Source organism: Homo sapiens, chromosome 6 (genome assembly GCF_000001405.40).
Source record: "Homo sapiens chromosome 6, GRCh38.p14 Primary Assembly".
Classification (NCBI taxonomy): domain Eukaryota; kingdom Metazoa; phylum Chordata; class Mammalia; order Primates; family Hominidae; genus Homo; species Homo sapiens.
In genome coordinates this window covers 8,566,977-8,584,715 of record NC_000006.12, presented here as the reverse complement: position 1 = coordinate 8,584,715, position 17,739 = coordinate 8,566,977, and the positions used below count along the sequence as shown (strand labels likewise).

Below are 17,739 nucleotides of genomic sequence, written 5' to 3'. Positions count from 1 at the left end.
CCCAAATGCCCATCAATGATAGACTGGATAAGGAAAATGTGGCACAGATACACCATGGAATACTATACAGCCATAAAAAAGGATTAGTTCATGTCCTTTGCAGGGACATGGATGAAGCTGGAAACCATCATTCTCAGCAAACTAGCACAGGAACAGAAAACCCAACACCACATGTTCTCACCCGTAAGTGGGAGTTGAACAATGAGAACACATGGACGCAGGGAGAGGAACATCACACACTGGGGCCTGTTTGGGGTGGGGTGCTAGGGGAGGGAGAGCATTAGGAGAAATACCTAATGTAGATGACAGGTTGATGGGTGCAGCAAACCACTGTGACACGTGTATATCTATGTAACCCCAAACCTGCACGTTCTGCACATGTATCCCAGAACTTAAAGTATAATAAAAAATAAATGCACACACACACACACACACACACACACACACACACACACACACACACACACGATTGAATCCTGGAACTATCAATGGCCTGTCAAGGAAATTTTTTGTTTCTGCTAAGAATTACTAAGCTTGGAGTATGTGAATTAAGAGCAGCCATGTTGCTAGTTTATCAGGAGAGCCTGCCTGAAAAGATGAAACCACACAGAAGCCAGTGTAACCGAGAGATCACTACCGATACTTTTACTATTACCCACGTCTTTGGATCTAGTAAAGCCTGAATTCAGAGTAGTCCCTGACAATTCAGTGACAGGTGCCAGTGAGTCCCCCCACTACCTTCCCACCCTGGTTTCACTTGTTTTTTGCTTCAACCAGCGTAAGTTGGGTTTTATTCCCTTGCAGCTAAAAGACTTCTAACTCATATCAAAGAACAGAGGCTCAAACTAGAAAATGGCAGGAGTCCTTAACTTTGTCCCTTGAGCTAATTTCATCCATTTAACTAGAAGTAGCAAATGAAGATTTAAGCAACCAGGACTTCAAATTCTGAACTTAACGTTTTCTTAATCTAAACACTGCCATCGTTCATAGCCTACTTTGGGCTCACTTCCTGGGATGGTGTTCGAGTTCTTGAGAATCCCAGACAATCCTTAAAAATATACATGAACAGAAACTGAACAATATTTTCAATTCCTCTTCTTCCTTATTAGCAGATTGGCTGGCCCAAGCAGAAGCATGAGAAGACAGGCCTGGTTAAATGGAATCTGTCAAGCTGGCAACCAAGGCCACAAAGACTTAACTGTTTTACCCAACTAGGAGGACTTGAGAGCTGTTATAATGCTGATGTCAGGAAATATGAGTATTTTGATCATAACATTTTAGGGTTTTAAAATAAAATTATGTTTGAAAAAAGGACAGAATTCATGTATAACTAAGTTCATAATTTTAGCAAGCTGGTTTATAATGATATTTTAATATATCTAATGTAAATAATTACTTTAATTCTAGTAATGCATAGTGCTACAGTTCTTCCACATCTTCTCAAGTATCTGGACATTGAAATTTTTCATAATTCAAGACATTGTTGTTTTTCTTACCCCCTCCTCATCACCCTTTGGAGAAGTACATTTAAAAGTCACTGTTCTGGCCAGATGCAGTTGCTCACACCAGTCATTCCAGCACTTTGGGAGGCCAAGGCAGTATGAGACCAGGAGTATTGAGCCCAGGAGTATGAGACCAGCCTGGGCAACAAAATGAGATCCTAAGAACTAAAAAAATTAGCCGGAAATGATGGTGTGGGCCTGTAGTCCTAGCTACTCAGGAGGCTGAGGTGGGAGGATGGCTCAAGATGGAGGCTACAGTGAGCCAAGGTTGTGCCACTGCACTCCAGCCTGGGTGACAGAGCAAGACCCTGTCTCAAAAAATGAACAACAATAAAAAAAGACACTGCTCTGGGATACCATATCAAAATGTAATTTAATATTTTTTTAGAAGATTGAGTAGGGAAAGTGGCACACCAGATAGTAAACCTAACAAATATTAATATCACAGATATGACTTATATAGTCTGCTACATGCTATAATATTTTGAATGTTTCTGAGAACAAAAGTTTAGGATCATAGTAAGGTTGATTCTATAAGAACTCATAAAATGCAAAAATGATCTTAAAGAGAGGCTTTCACCTTGTTTTAAATAACTTTAGCTCACCTGCATTGCTTATGAAAAGGCACTAATTAATTATATTAAAGTGTTATAATATCTTATATTTATATAGCTCTTCCTAGTTTAGAAATGATCTCAACCCAGCAACCCTATAAAATAGGTCAAAGAGAATTACCCCTTCTCTACTGAATGAGAAAAAGAGGCTCAATCAGGCAGCTGGTAAATGCCTAACCTGGATTCTAAGTTGGTTCATACCTTTGGATTGGGTACCAGAAAGCACCCAATCAGGAGCATTTCCTACTTGAGCATTGATCTAGGGTATTCTCTGCTTAGCCTCCAACATCATGATCAAGTGGCCAAACGTAGGTCCAGGTGTCAATACTAAAATCCTACCGTGAGCCTTGAGAAAGAAGAAATTCATTTACAAAAGCCAAAAGAATGCCAAGAAGAAGATCGGCTCCATGTAGGCGCTAAGGTATCACCTGTCTTGGTTTCCTTTCAGATACCCAAATTCTATCTTGCTCAAACACTATTTTCCAATGAATGAACAAATCTACCCAATTTAATTAATCAGTAAAATCTAGCAAATGCTTGAGTCAATAGTTTCTACGTACATTATTTTGAGACCATAGATTAATTGGTCTCAAAATAATGTATGTATAAACTTTTGACCCAAGCATTTGCCAGATTTTACTGATTAATTAACAATTAATAGTAACACAGATACTATTTTTAATGAATAACCAAAACTGCCTCACCAGGACTAGGTGAAATGTGGTCATGAGTTGCCAGACACAGGTCTCAGTCATAGTCTCAGTGTTCTTATGTGTAAACCTGTTCGCCACAAAGATATCATCTTTTGTATTTAATCAAATCTTCAAAAATATACTGGCTATAGAAGAAGCACCTTTACCTCTTTGTAAGAGGTCAATGAGCTCAGGGTCACAACTTGACCCTGATTTTCCTAATAACCACAGCCTCACTGACGACACTTAACCTGTCTTTCAAGTCTTTCAACCACTCTTCTTTGCTGCTTGGGTCCTGGTGATCCTTCTAGTGCAGACTTCTCTTTCAAGCTAATGATTCCTTCGGTTTCTTTCAGTACCCTGGGAGGTTCCATTTATTCTGGCTTCACAGTTTTGTATAGGTAGACACAGCTTGAGTAAACTTCTTATTTACCTTTTCCAAATGTAATGGAGGAAAAAACATACTGGAAAAACTCATCTTCTTCTTTCTCATAATAGTCTACTAGCCTAACCTACCCTTATCTCCACTCCTACTCAAGAATTTAGGCTATTGGCCGGGTGCAGTGGTTCACAATTGTAATCCCACAATTTGGAAGGCCTAGCGAGTGGATCACCTAAGGTCAGGAGTTCAAGACTAGCTTGGCCAACATGGCAAAACCCCGTCTCTACTAAAAATACAAAAATTAGCTGGCCATGGTGGTGCACACATGTAGTCCCAGCTACTCGGGAGTCTGAGACAAGAGAATTGCTTAAGCCCAGGAGGCAGAGGTTGCTGTGAGCCGAGACCGTGCCACTGCCTGAGTGCCTGAGTGACAGAGCAAGACTCTGTCTAAAAAAAAAAAAAGAAGAATTTAGGCTATTATGTATATGTTCTATGCTCCTCACCTTATTTATTTCTGGCTCTATATTTTTTTAAAGGCCCTCAGAAAAATACTAAGAACTCTAGGAAGAAATATCATCCATTACAGCAGGGGATTTGAGGAGAATGAGAGTCTGCTCTGATTCCAAATTCACAAATAATAAAATTGGGTTATATTTCAGAGTTTAGATGGGAAATGTGACAGAAGATATTTTGGTGAGTTGTAGAGAGAATCCCAGCACTCTTTTCTTAGAAAGGACTTGTGTCCTTTATATTAGACACTGTGAAGAATACAAAGTAATATATAACATACAATCTCCTCCATCAAGTGACTGATAACCTAATTGGGGACAGGGAGATATATTAATGTCGTATACTGATATGTACCCAACAAGTTGTCAGAACAACAAAATTTCTATGAGTTTAGACAAATGAAGGATCAGCGTGTTGGAATCATCATGGAAAACTTTACAGAGAAGTATTTTTCAAACAGTGGATAAAGACCCATTGGTGATCATGAAATTATTTTAGGTAGTTATGACTAGGCTTTGTAGGATAGAAGTATCAAATACAGTCCATGTATGTATAATTTAATGAAGCTTTTGTTTCAGATGTCTGTGTGCATGTATTTTGCATTCACTGGGACTTGATATAAAATGCATTTCTTATTGTGGGTCATGATCAAAATGTTTAAAGCCACTGTCGTATAGGAGATAGAGATCAAACAGTTCTTTGAAAGAAGAGTAGGACTGCAATGTGCAGAGGGGAAAGTGGTGGGAACTACATGGACCAAGTTGGAAAGCATGTACAAACAAAAAGGAATCAACCAGCCTGGGTTTATGTATGAACATGAGTGAAAAGATTGTGAGAGGGACTTCTGGAAATGTTCTAATTAAACTATTTTTTCCTTGATACGTAAAGGCTAATTCCCTTTAGATATTTTTGGACAGTGAAACCATATCACTCATCTTCAATCACTTTTAGACATTCATTCATAGCTTCAGTATCCTTTTTAGTGCCCTTTGAGAGCCTCTCTTTCTTCCATACCATCACCCAGTAATTCTGATAAAGCCAGCTTCATACACACACACACACACACACACACACACACTTAAGCATCACATACACAATCCCCTATGGGCTTAGATCTAGATGCAAGTAAGTCTAACAGCCTCCAACTCTGCATACACCCAATAATTATCACAACCACAACACCTAATGCACAACCCGGACAACCTCCCAAATCCTTAAAATGCATTACTCCCATCCGTTGCAAAACATATAGTTTGTTAGAGAGCTGGTGAGACAGGAAGGGGCAACACTGCTGCTACTGCCTTGAGTGCTTTGCCTCTCCACAAATGCTACAGCCATGCAAATGTCTGCTGATCAGAACCGCCTTGTTCCAAATTGTCTAGTAATTCATATTCTGCTCAGCAGGAGAGAATGCCAGGAATCTCTGGAGGGGAGAAAAGGAAACTGGAAGAATTCCAGAACCCTTTTGTTATTGGCTCAATTGGCTCAACTGGTAGACATAATGTTTCTGTCTTTAGCTGGAGGTGATTATATAAAGTCTGAGTCAGAAAAGAACAAAAGATTTTTTAAAAAATTATTTAACTACCTGCAGCAATTTTTGTTAAAACACCAAGGAGTCAACCAACAGAGGGAACTCTAGTGGCTTACTCATAATGCCAAGAGGCAAGTCATGAGTAGAAAATGAAGATCTTGAAAAAGAATGTGAAGATATTTTCATGAGAACAAATCCAATCCAACCAAGATAATTTTACCAACCCTACTATGTGTGAGACTGTGATGTCATTTCAAAATAGATTAGTGTGGCCGGGTGTGGTGGCTCACACCTGTAATCCCAGCACTTCAGGAGGCTGAGGGTGGTAGATTACCTGAGGTCGGGAGTTCGAGATCAGCCAGACCAACATGGAGAAACCCTGTCTCTACCAAAAATACAAAATTAGCCAGGTGTGGTGGCGCATGCCTGTAATCCCAGCTACTCAGGAGGCTGAGACAAGAGAATTGCTTGAACCTGGGAGGTGGAGGTTGCAGTGAGCCAAGATCGCACCATTGCACTCCAGCCTGGGCAACAAGAGCAAAACTCTGTCTCAAAAAAAAAAAAAGATTAGTGTTGGGAAGCAAATACTACCATACAGAGATTGGATTCCTTTTTGAAACAATTACCCAATTGCTTTATGCCATATACATATACAGCCTCTGGTCTGATGTTACTGGCTATTTCATCTCACCATCTCTGGGCCCATCACTAAGTGACTTAATAGACTCTTTTCCAGATAAGAGAAGTAGTGCTTAGTACCAGGGTAATGAAATTTTTGTGGTTATCATCTCCACATACACCTTTTTACCACAGAATGTGTGGGTTTTAAACAAGCGTATCAACCTCCATTCCTTGAGAAACCATGGTGAAATTCTTGAATTATTTCTGGTAGGCGCTTTATCTGTGAAATCCCTTCTAGTCTCTTCGCCATTTTTATAGATGTAATCAATTATTTTAGTCAAACAAAATACACTGCCAACTTTCCAGAATTCCTAGAACGATTTTAACTACTAGCTTGGGGTTTTATTCGGCATAAGCATAAAAGTTATTATATTCTAATTGCTTGTGATTGTTACGACATTGAGATTTATTTTGGTTGGTTATTTCAAGGGACTCTTAAAATCAGTTTAGTGACTTCATTCTGGTTTTCCTGATTGATTCTATTATTAGGACTGTGGAAGCCTGGGGCCTTTTGGCCTGACTGAACATCTTGAACAATTCTTTAAACAGTTTGGGTTTGGCAAAACCTATTTTGCCAAGAACATTACCCCTTAATTTTTAAAAACCATATGCATTTTAAGGAAAATGTAACCCATATGTTCCTAATTCCTCTGTACTAAACACATCAAAATGTTTTGTAAGAACTGTTTGATTTCCAAGAAGGCTTATGAGCCTTCCTTATACGATCTTTTAAGTTATTTTCTTTTAAAACAGGAAGTTATTTCTGCCAAGGATGAAGTTACTTAGACATCAAATGTTTCAAAAAACTCATGAACTAAGTGGACAGATTTTGTTTCTGTGGGATATATTCACCGAATAAAGTGGTAGCAAAACACACACGTACACACACACACACACACACAAAACTAAGCTATGAGAAAACTAAATCATATAAAGAAACATTTAAATATATATTCATATATATATATATATTTCTGAATCCTCATACACTGAAATACTTGGTCATGGATTTAGTATTTGACAAGAACACCTGCTTCAAAGGAGTTTTTGAGAAGTATCATTTTATTTTGTTTTGCTTTGTTTTTTAGTTCTAGAGAAGGTGTTCTAAAATCTTATCTGAATATCCCCTTTCATCATGTTACAAGTGAACTTTTACCAGGGGATTTGGAAATTTTAATTTGGTTTACTTTCAAAGAATATTAACAAATCAGAACATGTATATATTTTTACATGTCTGTACGTATGCGCATGTATATATATAAATGTTTGTGTGTATGTTATCCTAGATCTTCTTCTGGGTAGTCAGCATCCCATATTAATCTCTCAAGGAGACTCCAAATCATTGCACTCTTACCCCTCAAGATGGCAAAAACTGGTAATCATTCTTCCCTCCCAGTGAATCTAGATTCATGACTGGTGTGTCCAGTATACACCTGGCAGTTTGCGAGGGCAGGGCTCCCCCTCAAAACCCCCATGGAGAGAGCAAACACAAAATGAAGAAGTCATTTCCATCTTCTCTAGGTTGCAGTTCTTCATCTATAAGTGATAGAAATGGACAGAATTGTTCCTAAAGTTATATTATGCACAAGCATTTTATGAACCAATTTTTAGTATATTATCTAGCAATTCTAAAAGTGAAGGACACAGCATTTGCAATTAGTACTCAGTGCACACATCGCTTCCTGATGGAAACATTTAGGCACTTTGCTAAGAATAAAAGAAAGAAGGGGGGGGAAGGGAGGGGTAGGGCGAGGAGGGTTGGGGAGGGGAGGGGATTCTTCTCTCAAACTTTAGAGGGTTTTAGATAAATAAACATCCAAACAGCTGTAACAATGTCTGATTAAAATTTTCATTGATGAAGAAAGAAAGTAGAAGCTAGAAGTTCTCAGAACTTGACATGGAGATTTTAAAATTGGGATGATAAGGCTCAGGGGATAATTGCCAAGGAGAGTGTCATTTCAGGAAAACTCCAAGAGAGCTGGTCAGAAGAAACAAGGCTGGATATCTTAAGGGGAGGGTAAAAAGTCATTTTTAAAAGTTTAAAGGAAATGTAATGCAAATAAAGGAATTTAAATTTCACTTATTTTGTACCCATCGTGTACTTTCTGTCCTCTCTCTTTTTTTCATTTTTAGAACTAAAGCTTTTGTCAGTTTTGAAATAGAAATATGTAGTGATTGAATTCCTATTTGTTTTTTAATTCCTGTTGCTTTAGTTTGTATACTTAATTTCTACGTAACGCTTTTCTTCCTATTTCTCTATCCCAGTGGACTGCAACTGCCACCAAAAATACAAAAAAAAAAAAGGAAGCAAGACAGGAAGAAAGGAGACAGGAAGGAAGGAAGGAGGGAGGGAGGGAGGTAGGGAGGGAGGAAAGAAGGAAGGAAGGAAATGAGAAATGTTATGGGAACAAAATTCAAAACAGTATACACTCATTATACAGATTCCTGGTTTCTCTGGGCCTGGAGGACAACCTGACTCTTTTGGGACGCACCTATACTAGGGGCCATGCTGAAGCTGGGGGAGGCCAGGGAAACACCAAAGAATTTACTTATGTAATAGTGAGACTGCAGTGTGCTGGGGTTGTTTTTGAAAATATAACTCTTCTATCTGAAAAGGCAAGGACGAGGCCAGTCATAAGTAAGATTCTAAAATTCTGAAGAGTAATATTAGAAAGTGCTATGGGCTGGGTGCAGTGGCTCACAACTGTAACACCAATGCTTTGGGAGTCTAAGGCAGGAGGATCACTTGAAATCAGGAATCCAAAACCAGCCTGAGCAACATAGCAAGACCCTGTCTCTGCAGAAATGTTTCTTTAAAAATTAGCCAGGCATGGGAACATGTGCCTATAGTCCCAGCTACTCAGAAGAATGAGGCAGGAGGATGTATTGAGCCCAGGAGTTTAAGACTGCAGTGAACTATGTTTGTGCCACTGCACAACAGCCTGGGTGACAAAACAAGACCCTGTCTGTAAAATAATAAAAAATTTAAAAAGAAGGTGGTATATAGTCTGAATGTGTGTGTCCTTCCAAAATTCCTATGTTGAAATCCTAATCCCAAAGTGATGGTATTAGGAGGTGGGGCCTTTGGGAGGTGACTAGGCAATAAGGGATCTGTCTTTAGAATGAAATTAGTGCCTTTATTGAAAAAAAACAAAAACGGAGAGCTAGCTTGTTTCTTCTACCATGTGTGGACACAGTAGAAGATGTCATCTGTGAGCTAGGCCCTCATCAAACACCAAATCTGCTGGCCTTGATCTTGGACTTCCCAGACTCCTGTTGTTTATAAGCTACCCAGTCTATGGTATTTTGTTATAGCAGCCCAAACAGACTAGGACAGAAGGATAATTCAGTCCTGTTATGCTCCTTAAGGATTAAAGAATTGCATGAATACATACATATTTTAAAATAGTTAATGGCAGCTCCACTAATAATTCACTATTAAATTCACCTAAAACTCCCTGAATATATATAATCAACAACACAATGTATTTCCCATTATTTCCCATGTGAAACGCTTATTGATGACATCATTAGAAGCAGACCTTATCTGTAAGTCTGATCCAATAGAAAAATATTAATGAATTGTTCTTAACAAGGACCTAATGCTTCGAAACTGTATTACGTCCACCAATATGGTACGATGTTCCAAAAAATTTACATGGGGTTGAAATTTTCTTTCATTTGTAGCTTTTGGCTAAGGCATGGATAAGGAGAACAAAGAATTCTTCAGAGTGAAGCAACAGGAGTATAAATGATCATCTGTTACTATTCCTTTTTAACCTATATTGTGAAGAAAGAAAGAGAGAAAGAATGAAAGGAAGAGAAAGGGAAGGAAGGAAGGAAGGAAAAAAGGAAAAAAGGAACGAAGGAAGGGAAAAAGGAAGGAGGGAAGGAAAGAAGGAAGGAAGACGGAAGGAAGGAAGGAGGGAGGGAGGGAGGGAGAAAGAGAAAGAGAAAGGGAGGAGTCAAAATTTTAAAAAATCCAACAACTTGAGCTTTAAATATACTTAAAAACTGGAATCATTAATCTATCTTGAGCTACAATATTTAGAAAGTTTTATTTGAAAAATAAAGAAAAGAGTGAAGAATACTACAGAATTCTGACTGCTTGAACTCCATTTTTATTTTTCACAAATCCATGTCTGGACTGGCCACTTTTAAAACTACTTTCACATAATTGACCTTGAAACTTTGCCTCTGGGGGAATCACAGGTCAATGTGTGAAGGAAAGTAATGAAGTTAAAGGTAGAAAGTGAATGTAGATGATACCAATGCAAATTTTTCTGACTCATCAAATTTTTTAAAATTCAGCAATATTAACTTACGATCTACGGATGAGCTATTTTACTTTTCACCCATTCACAGTGACTTTGAAAGGCAAAATTAACTAGATTTGAAAAGCTCTCCATTACTAAAGATAAGTTCCATTTGAAGCATGTGATCTCTGTGACCCACTCCCTATTCATACCCCCTCCCCTTTTGAAACCCCTAATAAAACTTGCTGGTTTTGCGGCTCAGGTGGGCATCACGGAACCTGCCAACATGTGATGTCACCCCCGGAGACCCAGCTGTAAAATTTCTCTCTTTTGTACTCTTTCTGTTTATTTCTCAGACCGGCCGACACTTAGGGAAAATAGAAAAGAACCTATGTTGAAATACTGGGGGCTGGTTCCCCCAATAAACTTATTCGATGGTAACTCTAACATGTTTGGTCAACCTTTTCTATTAAGCTGTGCTGAACAATACCCACTTAGGCAACGGTCTCCCGCCACCTCATTCCAATCTGCAGTGATGTCTCCAGATTTGTGATAACGGCAATAACACAAAACAGGCTTTCCACTGTTGTGAGTAAACAGCAGAATTCATGAAGAAGCAAACTGTTTACCCATGTGAGGTGAATGAGCTTTTCCTGAAGAGCAGGATTTAGTGCCCTCAAGGAGGCAATTTATTAAATGGAGCCAGAAATGTGTGCTCATTTTGCTGGTCTGAATAGAGCAAAGGCATCATCATTAAATAGTTACTTTAGGGCACCAAGATTTCTGTATCAGGTATTATGTAAACTTTATTTGTACGTGCACCCAGTCCTCCCAACCAGGAACAGCAACATGACAATATCTACTAGGCCATTCTGCAGGATAGTCATGTATTTACAGTGAGAGAGGAACAAAGGCCTATTCTAGAAGTCAGGACACCTTTGTTTGTGTGACCTACTGTGGGCAAAACACATAACAGTTCATTCATCTGTAAACATGGCGGTTAAACAAGATGATCGCTAAAATCCCCTTCAGTTCTAAAATAAAATTATTGATTCATTTTCCTCTCAATGTGTTAATTTATGTCTTCCAAATTGTATTAAAAACACTTTTATTTCAGTAATGCCTCTTCCCTATTCAGCCTAAATATATGCATAATTACCTTGAACTGAAACAAGATTTTTAGTGCAATATTCTCTTTCCTGTCTCTCCAAAGCATATGGAGAAACCAAAGCAATGCAAAAGTTGTTCTATGGCTGTGGCAAAAATCACTGAACAAATAATTTCCATGCCCAAATAACAAGAGTTGAAGCCAGTTAACTCATTTCTCACCTCCTCTATTTTCCGTCCCCAAAATAGATGATTACTTGCTTATTTTGCAAAGCAGGTGTTACAAAGTTTCCTGGACTTTGAGAAAAAAAAAAAAAACCCACAGATGAAAGTAAAACTTGATTATCTGTTTTTAAAAATGTGTAAATCTATTTTGGGAACTTGATGGACTCAGTCATCAGGTGTTTTGGAGAAAAAAAAAAGAGAGGAAGGCCTGGAAGTCAAGTCAGATTGACTTCAGATAAAATCCAACGTGAAAAATTTTAAACTATTATTGGAAAAATAAAGGAGCTATGTTTATGTGATTAGCTTCCATAAGTCCCTAGTGTTGTATGTCAGAATTCAGGATTCAGCCGCTTAGAATTCTATACCCTCTAATCCTACGTAAAAGTCATCTATGAACGTCTATGTCACCTACGCACTCCAAAAATATTAATTCATTGATTTCATTTTGTTTAGATAAAATTTTCAAAAAGACAAGGAATTATTATGCTTCACTCTTTGGACATGTACACAAGCACCCCAAACACAGCTAAGCTAGTACTTCTTTGAATATCAAAGATCTGCATTACTCCTCTTTGTTTCCAAGCACCTAACACTATGTGCAATAGATGATTTACAAAAATGCATTGCATGCAGAAGAATAAAGTATTTGATGTGCAGTTTTTTTAAGGCAGAGCAAGAAATGAACACTAAGAAATATAAAATATTTTTAATTTACTCGGTAGTCACTGGTGCCAGGCACTTTGCACATTTTACCTTTAATTCTTAAAACTACCCGCTGAGGCATTATCACCTCCATTTCCCCGAAGAGGACATTTCCAAGAGGTGAAGCAAATTGCTCACCATTATATCGCTAAGAATCGGTAGCTTGGTCTCAAGCCCTGTCTGGCTGGCAGCAATGCCTGTGCTCTCTGTTGCAGCCCAATTTCTCTTCTTAGTCACTGCTCAACCATAAGCTGTCCAACTTACATGTAACTTTATGAATACTGTTATAGAAAAGCATGAAGAAAACTGTGTTTTTGCTTCAGGGCTAGCTAATATCTTCCAACCAAATCTCCAACTAATAATCAGTTTGTCTCATGCCTGGGTTGTTTTATTCTGTTTTACTAAAATGTCTTTAAAATCTTTTCTGTCAGAGGAAAAGCTTATCTGAGAAGATAGACATATATAAGTACCAAAATATCAAATAAAAGGGCCATTAAATGTTCCACAGGTGACCTCTAAGCTACCCAGAGGAACAATGGGGGGAAGACGGAGGTTGGGAGAAAGGAAGGACAACTGTCATAGTCTTCCTAATTTAAGTAAGTCCTCAAAACTCAGCTCCTGAACCAGAGGCCTAATCACTGGAGGTCAGTAGACATATAAGTTTCCATCTTAATTAATTATTTGCCTGTAAGACAAGGCCTTGTGGCAGCCTGGGCTTCTCCCTCAGACTGGTGAGCTGGTGAAGGAGGTCACGGTAGTGACCAAGACCTCTCAGACTATGACTTGATGATGCTAGGCCCCACCTTCTCCCACATTTCAAATGCTTGTGTTGCCAAAGCTGAAGAATCAGGTTAGAGCTCCAGGGCTGACTCCATACCCAGCAAGCAGCATGCGGAGCGTAGCAGCTGTGGCCTTTGATCAGAGTTCAATCTTTTTACTGTATGTTCTTAAAACTCTTGTCATCAGGAATGGGGCCTGCTCATTGGAAATGGGGCCTGACTCTTATCGGCTGTACATCCTCCCAAAGGTTAGCGACTTTATCACAATACTTTGGCCATTCACTCCGAAGCAAGCCATATACTGGAATTTCTCATTTGCTCCAATTCTTCATTCATGACACCAGAAACTAACATTTAACTTCTTAAAAATAGTACTTAGAAAATATAAACATCCTTATTACTTGATCTTCTTTCTTCAGCTTCCAAGAGGAGATGATCATAAGTGAAATATGACTAATTTTTAACAATTCACTAAGCTTAAGTTTTATATTTAAAGCTGCCCTGCATACAGATGTATAACAAATGTCATATCCAAATTTGTCATAAATATATAATTAAGACATTTTCCAAGGATTGTGCAAACTGGTCTACATAAATTACGTCACAGCAAACCTAGGAGATAGTAATGGGGGAAAAAAAAGGCTGGGAGAGGTAAGCATGTCCAAAGTTGTGGAGCTATTTAAACAAACTTTGCAAATATCCATAACTAAGTAGATCACTCTCATATCCATTGAGACAAATTAATTGTATCTTCTGAAGTGGCAAGAACTTATCTGAATCATTATTTTTGCTCTGATAATATACTCATCTATATGATAGCCATTTGTTGTACGTGTCCAATTATATAGTCAAAGGTTTAAGGCTGTAGATTCTAATGAAAACTATGAAGTATTTCCCCAGAAAAAAAAAAAAGGCCATCCATGCATCTGCCACAGTTGTCTCCACAATTTCACGGTGCTGGAAGGGCTTCTGTAGCTTGTCTGCAGGCTTGAAGACCCATGTATTTTAGAGGATCATGAGCCCAGACTTAGAACACCTCCCACACTGTCTTACACTACTTCCTCTCTTTCGCAGGCTTTTGCCTTCCACACTTTTGGTGCTGGAGAAAAAGGCTAATGCTGAAAAAGGAAGACATTTGCTCTAAGTGTCTTTAAACTTTGAAACCTTTACAGTCTATGAGGCTATAAATACAGTTTACCAGGAAGCTTGTTTTTCCTTTTTATTATCATATTCTTTAAAATATAAAACCCAGAAAAGACATAACTGTAATGCGCACTCTCTGAGCCGTGACTTTGGTGAGCACTTGGGGAACAGACATGTCTTTATTGGATTGCCTTTGTCTCACAACACAAAAGGCACTGATAGCTCCAGGAAATCCAGATATGTCTGCGTAGGGTGTTTCATGCTGTAGATATTTAAGGAGGTGTGAAAGTGTACATTAGCACTCTTTTTGGAAGGAAAAGACTCTTCTTGCTTGAACATTACTAACATTTAAACATAACTTAGCAGACCAAAATTCAAGGCTATTTAAAATATGTTCCCTTGGTAAGATCTAAAGTTCAGTTGTAAATTTTTAATCTCAGTGTGAAATTCACATGTTATCTCACTTTATGCTCCCTCCTAAAATGCTTTAAATTCTAAACATTCTATTTCTTTCTGGGATATGTAGCAGAAATATCTTAAATCTAATCCTCTGTCCCATCCTTTGTGTCATATTTTGGGACTTTATAATATCTCGCCTGGGTTTTTTTAAGATAGCTTCCTGTCTCATAACTCCCTGACCAAGTCAGAGGGTATTGAAAGACATTAGCTATTTCCCTAATTATTAAATTTGATCATGTCAACCACTTGCTTTAAAATTCCTTTTGGTTCCTATCCCTTTCAGATTTAGACCCAAATTTCTTATTTTAGCTCTCAAGGCCCTTCCAATCTATTTCTGGCCTATTATCCCATTGGTAACTCTATCTAAACTCCTCTCCACTTCCATTAAGCCACCAATATGCCTCTAAATTCATTCCAGTATACTAAAGTCCTCATCATTTTTAAGCACATCAAGATCTGCTATAAAAGATATGGAATCAGCCGGGTGCAATGGCTCAGGCCTGAAATCCCAGCACTTTGGGAGGCCGACGGGGGCGGATCATGAGGTCAATATATCGAGACCATCCTGGCCAACATGGTGAAACCCTGTCGCTACTAAAAATACAAAAATTAGCCAAGTGCAGTGGTGTGTGCCTATAGTCCCAGCTACTCAGGAGGCCGAGGCAGGAGAATTGCTTGAATACAGAAGGCAGAGGTTGCAGTGAGCCGAGATCACACCACTGCACTCCAGCCTGATGACAGAGCAAGACTTCATCTCAAAAAAAAAAAAAAAAAAAAAAGATATGGAATTAACCTAGATGCCCACCAATGATAGGCCAGATAAAGCAAATGTAGTACATGTACACCATGGAAAACTACACAGCTATGAAAAAGAATGAGATCAAGTTCTTTGCTGCAACATGAATGGAGATGGAGGCCACTATTCTAAGCGAATGAACACAGGAACAGTAAGCCAAATACCGCATGTTCTAACTTATAAGTGGTAGCTAAACATTGAATACACATGGACACAAAGAAGGGAACAACAGAGACCTGGGCCTACTTGAGGGTAGAGGGAGGAAGGACAATGAGGACCGAAAAGCTACCTATTGGGTACTATGCTTATTACCTGGGTGACAAAATAATCTGTACACCAAACCCCCACGACACACTATTTACCTGTATAACGAATCTGCACATGTACTCTTGAACCTAAAATAAAACTTAAATATTTTTTAAATTTAAAAAATAAATAAATAAAGACTTGCCATAATAAGAAGCATGCTGTCCCTCCTGGGATATTCTTTCTCACCTTCATCAACTGAAGCTGCCTACTCATCTTTTAAGACTCAGTTCCAATGTCACCTCTTCTGAGGAGACTTTCATGAACTCCTCATATAGTTAGCCTATCTTTGTGCTCAATCCCATTTTCTTTGTAACTCTGTAAAAGCTAGTATCAGCCAGGTGTGGTGGTTCATGCCTGTAATCTCAGCACTTTGGGAGGCCGAGCTGGGTGGATCACCTGAGGTCAGGAGTTTGAGACCTGCCTGGCCAACATGGTGAAACCCCGTCTCTAACTAAAATACAAAAATTAGCCAGGCGTGGTGGCACACGCCTGTAATCCCAGCTACTCAGGAGGCTGAGGCACAAGAATCACTTGAACCCAGGAGGCAGAGGTTGCAGTGAGCCGAGATCACGCCACTGCACTCCAGCCTGGGCGAAAGAGTGAGATTTTGTCTCAAAAAAAAAAAAAAAAAGCTAGTATCATTGAAAGTTTTATGCATGATAATCTGTCTCACCAGGAAGACTACAAGGTCCTCAAAGACAGATGTATGTTATGTCATCTTTATAGAGCCTGCACCAGGCCAATGATTGACATAGCTTAGAAATTATTTGAATAATCAGTAATATAGTAGAGTGAATGTGAGAATAAATTTTTACTGTATTACTATCAATCCCTAAATTGGATGTAAATAAATTACAGTGAAAATGGCCATACTGCCCAAGGTAATTTACAGATTCAATGCCATCCCCATCAAGCTACCAATGACTTTCTTCACAGAATTGGAAAAAACTACTTTAAAGTTCATATGGAACCAAAAAAGAGCCCGCATCGCCAAGTCAATCCTAAGCCAAAAGAACAAAGCTGGAGGCATCACACTACCTGACTTCAAACTATACTACAAGGCTACAGTAACCAAAACAGCATGGTACTGGTACCAAAACAGAGATATAGATCAATGGAACAGAACAGAGCCCTCAGAAATAACGCCGCATACCTACAACTATCTGATCTTTGACAAACCTGAGAAAAACAAGCAATGGGGAAAGGATTCCCTATTTAATAAATGGTGCTGGGAAAACTGGCTAGCCATATGTAGAAAGCTGAAACTGGATCCCTTCATTACATCTTATACAAAAATCAATTCAAGGTGGATTAAAGATTTAAACGTTAGACCTAAAACCATAAAAACCCTAGAAGAAAACCTAGGCATTACCATTCAGGACATAGGCATGGGCAAGGACTTCATGTCCAAAACACCAAAAGCAATGGCAACAAAAGCCAAAATTGACAAATGGGATCTAATTAAACTAAAGAGCTTCTGCACAGCAAAAGAAACTACCATCAGAGTGAACAGGCAACCTACAACATGGGAGAAAATTTTCGCAACCTACTCATCTGACAAAGGGCTAATATCCAGAATCTACAATGAACTCAAACAAATTTACAAGAAAAAACAAACAACCCCATCAAAAAGTGGGCGAAGGACATGAACAGATACTTCTCAAAAGAAGACATTTATGCAGCCAAAAAACACATGAAAAAATGCTCATCATCACTGGCCATCAGAGAAATGCAAATCAAAACCACTATGAGATATCATCTCACACCAGTTAGAATGGCAATCATTAAAAAGTCAGGAAACAACAGGTGCTGGAGAGGATGTGGAGAAATAGGAACACTTTTACACTGTTGGTGGGACTGTAAACTAGTTCAACCATTGTGGAAGTCAGTGTGGCGACTCCTCAGGGATCTAGAACTAGAAATACCATTTGACCCAGCCATCCCATTACTGGGTATATACCCAAATGACTATAAATCATGCTGCTATAAAGACACATGCACACATATGTTTATTGTGGCATTATTCACAATAGCAAAGACTTGGAACCAAC

General features: G+C 38.7%; 1 long non-coding RNA gene across 2 annotated transcripts in view, besides 1 other annotated feature; it reads right to left on the bottom strand.

Annotated features, from left to right (window-relative positions):
- The window catches only part of LOC100506207 (uncharacterized), a 349,823-nt gene that overhangs the window by 200,730 nt on the left and 131,354 nt on the right, over positions 1-17,739 (bottom strand). The gene's annotated exons all lie outside the window — the stretch shown is intronic.
- Positions 12,418-12,587: an enhancer, noted in NCBI's record as "experimental_96450 CRE fragment used in MPRA reporter constructs". NCBI's record gives its function as "activates a minimal promoter by MPRAs in K562 erythroleukemia cells, with activity observed for the introgressed 6:8572447 variant allele {active_cell/tissue: K562}" and the evidence as "EXISTENCE:reporter gene assay evidence [ECO:0000049][PMID:34662402]".